Raw genomic sequence first — 11,352 nt, forward strand, 5'->3', positions numbered from 1 at the left:
AGGCAAAAGAGAGGCAGGCACTTCCTTCACAGGGTGGCAGGGAGTGCATGCAGGGGAAATGCCAAATGCTTATAAAACCATCAGATCTTGTGAGAATTCACTCACTATAACGAGAACAGCATGGGGGAAACTGTCCCCATGATTCAATTACCTCCACCTGGTCCTGCCCTTGATACATGGGGATTATGGAGATTACAATTCAAGATGAGATTTGGGTGGGGACACAGAGTCTAACCAGATCATTCCACCCCTGGCCTCTCCCAAACCTCATATCCTTTTCACATTTCAAAACCAATCATACCTTCCCAACAGTACCCCAAAGTCTTCATTCATTCCAACATTAACCCAAGTCCAAGTCCAAAGCCTCATCTGAGACAAGGCAATTCCCTTCTACCTATGAGCCTGTAAAATTAAAAGCTAGTTAGTTACTTCCTAGATACAATGGGGGTACAAGCATTGGGTAAATGGGAGAAACTCATTCCAAATGGGAGAAATTGGCAAAAATGAAGGGGTTAGAGGGCCAATGCAAGTCCAAAATCCAGTGGGGCAGTCAAATCTTAAAGCTCCAAAATCATCTCCTTTGACTCCATGTCTCACATCCAGGTCATGCTGATGCAAGAGGTGGGTTCCCATGGTCTTGGGCAGCTCCACCCCTGTGGCTTTGCAGGGTACAGCCCCCCTCCCAGCTGCTTTCACAGGCTGGTGTTGAGTGTCTGTGGCTTTTCCAGGCGCATGGTACAAGCTGCTGATGGATCTACCATTCTGGCATCTGGAGGACAGTGGCCCTCTTCTCACAGCAACACTAGGCAGTGCCTCAGTAGGGACTCTGTGTGGGGGCTCTGACCCCATATTTCCCTTCCACACTGCACTAGCAGAGGTTCTCCATGAGGGCTCTGCCCTTGCTGCAAACTTCTGCCTAGATATCCAAGCATTTCCATACATCCTCTGAAATCTAGACAGAGGTTTCCCAACCTCAGTTCTTGACTTCAGTACACCCACAGGCCCAACACCACATGTAAGCCACCAAGGCTTGGGGCTTGCATCCTCTGAAGCAACATCCTGAGCTTTACCTTAGCCCCTTTTAGCCATAGCTGGAATGCAGGGCACCAAGTCCCAAGACTGCGCAAAGCAGCAGAGCCCTGGGCCCGGCCCACGAAACCATTTTTTCCTCCTAAGCTTCTGGGCCTGTGATGAGAGGGGCTGCCAAGAAGACCTCTGACATGCCCTGAAAACATTTTCCCCATTGTCTTGGAGATTAACATTTGGCTCCTCATTACTTAAGCAAATTTCTGCAGTGGGCTTGAATTTCTCCTCAGAAAATGGGTTTTTCTTTTCTATTGCTTTGTCAGGCTGCAAATTTGTCAAACTGTTATGCTTGGCTTCCCTTTTAAACATAAGTTCCAATTCCAAACCATCTCGTTGCAGATGCATAAAACTGAATGCTTTTAAGAGCACCCAAGTCACATCTTGAACACTTTGCTGCCTAGAAATTTCTTCTGCCAGATACCCTGAATCATCTCTCTCAAGTTCAAAGTTCCACAGAGCTCTAGGGCAGGGGCAAAATGCCATCAGTCTCTTTGCTAAAGCATAGCAAGAGTCACCTTTGCTCCAGTTCCTAATAAGTTCCTAATCTACATTTGAGACAGCCTCAGCCTGGACTTCATTGTCCACATCACTATTAACATTTTGGTCAAAACCATTCATTCAACAAGTCTCTAGGAAGTTCTAAGTTTTCCCACATCTCCCTGTCTTATTCTGAACCTTCCAAACTGTTTCAGCCTCTGCCTGTTACCTACTTCCAAATTTGCTTCCACATTTTCAGGTATCTTTATAGCAGTGCCCCACTACCTTGGTACAAATTTACTGTATTAGTCCATTCTCACACTACTATGAAAAAATACCTGAGACTGGGTAATTTAATAAAGGAAAGAGATTTAATTGATTCACAGTTCTGCATTGCTGGGGAGGCCTCAGGAAATTTACAATCATGGTGGAAGGCAAAGGAGAAGCAGGACCTTCTTCACAGGGTGGCAGAACAGAGTAAGTGCAAGCAGGGGAACTGCCAGACACTTATAAAACCATCAGATCTCATGAGAACTCACTCACTATCACAAGAACAGCAGGCGGGAAACCACCCCCATGATCCAATTACCTCACCTGGTCCTGCCCTTGACACGTGGGGATTATGGGGATTACAACTCAAGATGAGATTTGGGTGGGGACATAAAGCCTAACCATATCATTATCCCTCTGAATTGTTGGGTACATTCTTCAATGACCAGGGGCTTTGGGACATGGAGAAGAATACTCCTAGCTATTTGTACTTTGTTTAATGCTCAGATTATTAAGCCTCATATATCTAATATTTGAAAGCTAAATTTTCTTGAACATTTAAGAATTAAATTTAATTAATTACATTTCCCCAAACAATTTTAAACTGTAATTACAAATATATTTATTAGTATGGTTGATTTCTAAGACATTTCAAACACTTCAGATGGTAAATAAAACATACAAATGATAATAAAATGTATTATTATACCTAAATTATTTTTGAGACATCAGAATAACAGGCTAAATTTATTATGTTTGTAGTTGTTTTTATACCTTTTTTGGGTTATAGTTATTTTTATTTTAATAATATCTTGAGTTTTCATAACAATTTTTTTGATACATTCCCAGGATTGCAGTAATCTTACCAGACTCAAAAGAAAAATACTCCAAGGTTGTAAGATGTGGCTTATCAAAGATTATTCATTAGAGCACAGGACTTGAGGGCTTCTTAGGTGAGTCAAATTTGATCCCTGGTCATGGGGGCTGAACTTCTTGTTTACAGTAAAGCTCCACTTATCATCTCAGTAAAACTTTTCAGATCATTTTTAGCCTATGTTTTATTTTTTGCAACTTGCTATCTTCCTTCAAAATAGTTTACTTTGAGCAGGGCACGAAGACTCATGTCTGTAATCCCAGCACTTTTTCTTTCTTTTTTTTTTTTTTAAGTTCTGGGATACATGTGCAGAATTTGCAGGTCTGTTACATATGTATACATGTGCTATGGTGGTTTGTGGCATCCTGTCACCTAGGTTTTAAGCCCCATATGCATCAGGTATTTGTCCTAATGCTCTTCCTCCCCTTGTCCCCCACCCCCCAACAGGCCCCAGTGTCTGATGTTCCCCTCCCTGTGTCTATGTGTTCTCATTGTTCAACTCCCACTTATGAGTGAGAACATGTGGTGTTTGGTTTTCTGTTCCTGTGTTAGTTTACTGAGAATGATGGTTTCCAGGTTCATCCATGTCCCTGCAAAGGACATGAACTCATTCTTCTTTATGGCTGCAATCCCAGCACTTTGAGATGCTGAGGTGGGAGAATCAACTGAGCCCAGGAATTGGAGGCTGCAGTGAGCTAAGATCGCCCTACTGCACTCCAGTCTGGGCGTTAGAGTAAGACCCTGTCTCTAAAACACAAAACAAGCAAAAATCCAAATCATTTACTTTTTCTTTATAGTCCTGGTTGGCTAGTGTTAGATAACATGTTCTGCTATTATATATTCACCTGGTCTGTTTTCATATTAAAACCGTGTTCATTTCTTGTTGTATTTCACTATCACCAGTAGGACTATCAAGAAGTTTAATTACCTAGGAGATGCACAGTTAGCTTTCCTCTCTAACACATTTGGCACATTTAACTCTATTGAACTCTTTTTCGCATCTTATGTGGAACCAGCTGCAGTGATTGTTAAACTCCTATCTTCCCTGTTGTTGTGTGTGACCACTGGGGACAGTAATTCTTCCTGTCTTTTGTATAGTCTCTACAATTTCTAGGACTTTTTAACAGTGTTGTATTCCACATTTTTCTTATACAGATAGAAAGAATTATAATCCATACTCGATAAATAGGTAAAAACTTAAAGAAAGAAAACACACATACTTCCTCTTTTATTTATTAAAATCAATACAAATAAAACATATTTTCTTATAATCATTCTTCTTTTTCAGTACATTACCTTTTGTATAATTTATGCTAATGTTCCCTTTTCAGGTATCATAAACCCTTGGCCTTTTATAGATTTGATTTGTTCTAATTAATTTATTAACAGTAACGGTTATTGTTCATGATGGGAAACCATTTAAGCAAATTGCTTTGCCCTATAGCATTGCTCTGGCATCCTTAAAGACATTCTTGCTTTTTGGCAAGACATGAAGTTCCAAAAACCATCCTAATTTTTCTTGCCCCAAGACATGGAATCAGCTGTCCTCTAGGAGTCCTTCTCTTTTTGGTAGGCAATACTATTAGAGACCAACTTATACTTATATCTATCTGTATAAGAAAAATGTTGAATACAATACTGATAAAAAGTCCCAGAAATTGTAGAGACCATACAAAAGGCAGGAAGACTTACTGTCCCCAGTGGTCACATGCAACAACAGGGAAGATAGGAGTTTAACAATCACTGCAGCTGGTTACACATAAATGTGCTGCTGTTGCCGTGGGACCACATAAAAGAGTGATAGAGCTAGAAAATATACATCTTTTTTAAAGCCAAAGCTTATACTGATTTTTCCATTTAAATACGTGATGTTACTATACTCTACTTTCCTAATAGTAGAAAGTTTTATCATTGCCTAACTGAGAAAAGCCATTCCCTGCAACAAGAAGGAAAATCTCTAACTGCTGAACATTTATCTCACAAAACTCCTCCCAGGAAATATGAGTTCCCCCCAAATAACACATTTTGACTTACTATTCTATTTAATTAAACAAGTACATAACTGAAGCATTCTGAACATAGATGCAGGAGGACTTAGCTGTCAGGCTGAAGATCACCTATGTCTTTTTTTTTTTTGGCTATTAATCATGCCATGTTATTTTTAATTATGTACAAAGATCTAACATGTCACCCAGGGACAATTTCACCCACTGCTCTGTTTGGCCGCCAGTCTTTTGTCTCTCTCTTCAGCAATGGTGAGGTGGATACCCTTTCCTCGGGGAAGAGAAATCCATGGTTTGTTGCCCTTGCCAATAACAAAAATGTTGGAAAGTCGAGCGGCAAAGCTGTTGCCATTGGCATCTTTCACACGAACCACGTCGAATGATCCAGGGTGCCTCTCTCTGTTGGTGATCACACCAATTCTTTCCAGGTTAGCACCTCCAGTCACCATACATAGCTTACCAGCGTCAAACTTGATGAAATCAGTAATCTTGCCAGTCTCCAAATCAATCTAAATGGTGTCATTCACCTTGATGAGGGGATCAAGGTAGTGGATGGTGTGAGCATCATGAGTCACCAGATGAGGGATTCCTTTTGTGCCCACAAAGATTTTTCTCACTCTGCACAACTTGTACTTGGCCACTTCAGGTGTAATAAGATGTACATCAAAGCAACTCTTGGTGTCATAGATCAGACAGAAATTCTCTCTCATCTTGTCAATGCTGATGACATCCATGAATCCAGCAGGGTAGGTTATATCAGTTCAGACCTTGCCATTGATCTTAATGAACTGCTGCATGTAAATCTTCTTCCTCACCTGTCAGGTCATACTTAAGTCTGTTCCTTAGGAAAATGATGAGGGGGAGACACTCTCGCAACTTGTGGGGACCACTGGATGGACAAGGAGCAAACACACTGGTCACTTTATCCAGCATCCAATGCTTTGGAGCTGCTACCCACTTCAGATGCTTCTTGGGACACAGCCATGGCTGTGTTAGGCAAGGAAGGAGGATCACCTATGTCTTAACCTTTTCTTTTTGCAATAACAGAATAACTCAGGCTGGGTAATTTATAAATAAAAGAGGTTTATTTAGTTGATTCCGCAGGCTAGGAAGTATGAGAAGCACAGCTCCAGCATCTGCTTGGCTTCTGCTGAGGGGCTCATGGTAGGCTAAAACATGATGGAGAGGCCGGGGGCTACAGTTAAAGCTTGTAATCCCAGCACTTTGGGAGGCCAAGGTGGGCAGATCATTTGAGGTCAGGAGTTCGAGACTACCCTGGCCAACATGATGAAACCCCGTCTCTACTAAAAATATACAAAAAATTAGCTGGGCATGGTGGTATACGCCTGTAGTCCCAGCTTCTCAGGAGGCTGAGGCAGGAGAATCGTTTGAGCCCAGGAGGCGGAGGTGGCAGTAAGCCAAGATAGTGCCACTGCACTCCAGCCTGGTGACAGAGCAAGACTCTGTCTCAAAAGAAAAAAACAAGAAACAAAAAAACAAGCAACAATGTGGAAAGGTCAAAGGTGAAGTGGACACGTGTGAAGAAAGGCAAAGCCTGAGGAATGTCCTGGCTTTATAACAACCTGCCCTTCTGAGAACTAACCCATTCCCAAGAGACCTAATCCAAGACTAATTCAAGAACTCACTCACTACCATGAGAACAGCACCAAGCCATTCATGAGGGATCCACCCCCATGGCCCAAATACCTCCCACTAAACTCACCTCCCAACGCTGCCACCTTGGAGATCAAATTTCAACATGAGTTTTTGGGGGAAATAAACTCAAACCATACTCAAATCATAGCAATCTCCAAAACCATGAAAGCTGGCAGGGTTGCCATAACCACACTTTAATTATTTTAACTCTGTTATCTAAGGATCCCGGGAACACAAGCAATAAAAATTTTAACTCAAAAACTTTGCAGAGACGTCTCAATTCTCATTTAAAGCCTTAATGTCATTATGATGTTGGATTTCTTAGCCATCCTAAAGGCTGTAGGCTCTGAGGCATTTACTTGTTTCTTTTACAACATTAAAAATGGAACACTTCCATTTTTCAGGCAAGCAATTTATTTTATTGGAATTTCTTGGGTAGTCTCCAGCTGTGCAGGCCAAGAGACTTATCTGGGGGTCACAGACACATTCTGAATTGTGAGCTCTTCATTTCTGAGTCGATCAGAGTGGAAACTCTATTCAGCTTGTCAACACACATTTAGTGAGTCTCTCTTACACACCTGGCCCAAATATATATAGGAACTAGAAGTTTGGGAATGAAAAACATTTGTTTCTTTCCTTTAAGCCACCTCTAAAAGCTAGACTAGTCTTTCAGAATCAAGGACTATGTATCAAGGACTATACTTCTAAGAGGATCAGCTCAACTCCTGAGTGTTGCATGGGAATGGGGTCAGTCCTAGAGATGACTCATGGATTGAAATTGGTCTAGGAGGGATCAGCAGTGGCCCTGATTGTGTGTTGGTTATGTAGTGGAAGGAAGAAGAAAGAGGGCTCTGTAAAGAGGAAAGTCAGTCAGGAAGTGGAAGGACCACAGACTTCTGGGCTGGCCCTTCCTGGAGTGACCTTGAGCCCCTAATCCGGCCTGGGGATGACCCCTTTGAATATATTGGAACAGACCCCGAACCCCAAGGCTGGAGCACTATTTCCATTCAGGGAATAGTGATGCATGTGGGCCAATCAGTGGCTCACCTAGCTCCACCCTATTCCATGTCTGCCCCACCAGGACCTCGTCTTCTCTGGATCCAGTGCTGCAATGATCTGGGATGCATTTCTGTGTGTTTGAAGTCTTTAGGTAGCAACTAAGAGAACTACTATTTCTGACATTAAAGAAATTATGTTTGGTGATCATAAACCAGTTTCGTCATTTAATCCTTTTGTGTATCCAGACTATGACCTTCTCTTTCTTTCTTTATTTATTCATTTGCCAATTCATTTATTTAGCAAATATTTATCAGGATCTTTATGTGCACATAGCAGCAGTTAGGAAGGTGAGAAATTAACAAGCACAAAGTATATTCTGTAGAGAGGTGACCACAGTATTACATGGTGTGACAAAGTGACAATTTAGGGACAAGTTTTGAAAATGACATCCTCCGAAGTTGAATTGGAATAAAACATAAAGTGCATAAGATTAGCCATCCATAGAAGTTACTCAACCTGACACAAATTAGTCTCCCCCATAATAACAACTGTAAGTATAACTACATTTTGTAATTGGGGAAACATAATATGAGGTTATGTTGTACTACTATAATAACAAAAGCATTCATGTCTGGGGAGAAAGGGTGAAAAAGAAAAGTATTGGCCGGGCGCGGCGGCTCATGCCTATAATCCCAGCACTTTGGTAGGCTGAGGTGGGTGGATCACCTGACCTCAGGAGTTCAAGACCAGCATGGGCAACATGGTGAAACCCCATCTCTCCTAAAAATACAAAAATTAGCTGGGCATGGTGGCTGGCACCTGTAATTCCAGCTATTCAGGAAGCTGAGGCATGAGAATTGCTTGAACCCGGGAGGTGGAGTTTGCAGTGAGCCGAGATTGCGCTACTGTATTCCAGCCTGGGTGACAAGAGCGAACTCACAACAACAAAGAAAAGTATCTGTTAGTGTGCCTCCAGCACTGTCCAAGGGAGAGAAAATAATAGACCAGTGTTTGTTATCTAGATGGACATAGCCCCAGAGAGAAAGCTAATATTTGCATAGTGCTTTACTTTACAAAGCGTTTTCATGTATATATCTCTTTCAACATTCACAATTGCCCCATAAACATGCTATCATTATCATTCCTGTTTTATTGAGGAGGAAATGGAGTCTGGAGGCAAGGTGACTTTCCAAGGTCACCTTGTCAATGGAGTAGAGCTAGGAGTGATCTGAGTTGAAGGTGAGTGGGGTACTTTCCAATTCCCTGTAGCTGTCTTACATACGCCAGTGAAAACTCACTACAAGGCCAGTCGCATTGGCTCACACCTGTAATCCCAGCACTTAGGGAGGCCAAGGTAGGAGGATCACTTGAGCCTAGGAGTTGGAGACCAGCCTGGGTAATATAGTGAGACCCGTCTCTACAAAAAATACAAAAATTAGCCAGGTGTGGTGGTATTCCAGCTTCTCCAAGTCCCAAGGATTGCTGGAGCCTGGGAGGTCGAGGTTGCAGTGAGCAGCGATGGAGCCACTGCACTCCAGCCTCGGTGACAGAATATGAAAGAAAAAAATCGGGGCTGGCCTCAGGCTTTTGCAACCTGTGTAGCTGTGACCTGCTCGAGGGAGGGCCTTACTCTTGGTTTAATGCTTTATTGTCACTATCCCGAAGTTCTTTAATAATTTTTTAACAAGGAACTGGGTATTTTCATTTTGTACCAGATCCTACAAATTGCGTAGCCAGTCCTGACTGTACAAGTGATGGCTACCAGCTGGGCATGAGAGTCTTGGGAGTTTGTCCCAAAGTTTTGGGAGCTTGAAAGGTATATGGGATCTGGAAACAAGGACAGGAGAGGAAGTAGGCATAGGGAGAAACATGGGGAAAGGCAGGCTGGTAGGGCATACTGGGCACACTCTCTGGAGTAATACCATCTTGCAAGCTTGCTGCCTTTGGTTCATTCCAGAATATCCCTAATGAAAGAGTTATTGAAAGTAATGGCAAAGAACTGCAATTACTTTTGCACCAAACTAATACCACAACAGGTCTGTATGCTTAGTCCTTACATGTCTCCAAGGACACCATGATTGACTCTTTGCCAGCAACTGGGAATATGGCTCCTGAAATGTTCTTTATGGTAGTGACTGATAGTTTTTGTTTCTTTTTGGGACAGTCTCACTCTATCACCCAGGCTGGAGTGCAGTGGTGTGATCATAGCTCACTGCAGCCTTGATCTCCTGGGCTCAAGTAATTCCCCCACCTCAGCCTCCTGAGTAGCTAGGACTACAGGCATGCAACATCATGCCCAGCTAATTTTTAATTTTGTTTTCACAGAGACAGGGTCTCATTATGGCTCCCAGGCTGGTCTCAAACTCCTGGACTCAAGTGATCCTCCTGCCTCAGTCTCACGAAGTTTTAGTATTACAGGTGAGAGCCAATGCACCTGGCTATGATTGATGGTTTTGCTACATATACTTGGAGCAATGGGCCACACTGTACTGGTTTGTTGGGTTCTTGGCACAAATATCAAGACACTTGGGTTTTTTTACTGGGATCTTGAGTGTTAGTTGCCATGACTGGTTGTATAGCAGGAGGTACCTTTGTGACCCACCTGCTACAAAGCCCTCAGATTCTGAGACTCATATATACCAGATAGCTCTACCAGAGAGAAAGTGCTCCTGTGTGGCTGTGAATGAGGAAGGAAATCAGAGGCCTATGCTGGGCCTCCCAGGACCCTCCCTGGACTCCTCTGTTTGCACATTCCCTGCTATTTTTGCTCAGTATGCTTTGCTGCAATGAATCTTAGGACCCTGTCACTGAGTCTCGTGCATCCATCTGGTGAACCACCAAAAAACAAGACAAAATCTTCGGAAATAGTCCTTACGCTATTTTCTGCATTTTTCGTGATTAGAATCCATGTGGGTTTTTTTTAATCACACACACACACACACAAATATGACAAAAACTTGGATCTCAGGGAAGAAAAGTATTCATTAATGAACTACAAAACTAAGCCATGGCAAGGATGGGCGCTGTGGCTCACGCCTGTAATCCCAGCACTTTGGGAGGCCGAGGCTGGCAGATCAAGAGTTCTGGAGATCGAGACCATCCTGGCTAACACAGTGAAACCCCGTCTGTACTAAAAATAGAAAAAATTAGTTGGGCGTGGTGGTGGGCACCTGTAGTCCCAGCTACTCAGGAGGCTGAGGTAGGAGAATGGCATGAACCCGGGAGGTGGAGCTTGCAGTGAGCTGAGATGGCGCCACTGCACTCCAGCCTGGGTGACAGAGCAAGATTCCATCTCAAAAAAATAATAATGATAATAATCCATGGCAATGAGCAAAATGCAGGTGGGTGGGGAGGACCCTTGTAACTCTGATCACAAGAAAAGTGGTCATTTCTTTAACATATGAATCGTTCCTATAAACAAAGAAGAAAATCCCAACAATCCAATAGGAAAACTATCGAATGGATCACGCACACAAAAGATATGATAGTTCACTCAAAAGGAAAGATAAGGATACTAAGCAATAAATTCAAAATTAAACCAAAGTAAGATACCAATGGCACAAACCAAATGCTTTGCCGACATTGTGGGATAGGCTATGGTAAATTTATATATTGCTTATGAGGGTACAAATTAATACAACTTTTTTGGATTTTAATTTCTCAATAGTTCTAAAAATTTTAAATAACCTTTCCTTTGGCCTAGTGAATCCACTCTAAAAAACTATCTCGCAGATATGGTTCCTCAGTATAGGTTAAATAAAAGACATTCACTCACTGAATGCTGTTTATAAAAGCAAACATCTAAACAATCTATGGGTCCATCAACAAAATTCTTGCTGTATTATGTTTCATCCACACATTGGAAAAGTATAGAGCAGTTCAAAAAAATAAGATAAGGCCGGGCGTGGTGTGGCTCATGCCTGTAATCCCAGCACTTTGGGAGGCCGAGGCAGGTGGATCGCTTGAGGTCAGGAATTCGAGACTAGC

At 42.4% G+C, this 11,352-nt stretch overlaps 1 pseudogene; it reads right to left on the reverse strand.

Moving 5' to 3' along the window:
- On the reverse strand, window positions 4,845–5,733 carry RPS4XP11 (ribosomal protein S4X pseudogene 11; annotated as a pseudogene).

Source organism: Homo sapiens, chromosome 10, assembly GCF_000001405.40.
Source record: "Homo sapiens chromosome 10, GRCh38.p14 Primary Assembly".
Taxonomy (NCBI): Eukaryota; Metazoa; Chordata; class Mammalia; order Primates; family Hominidae; genus Homo; species Homo sapiens.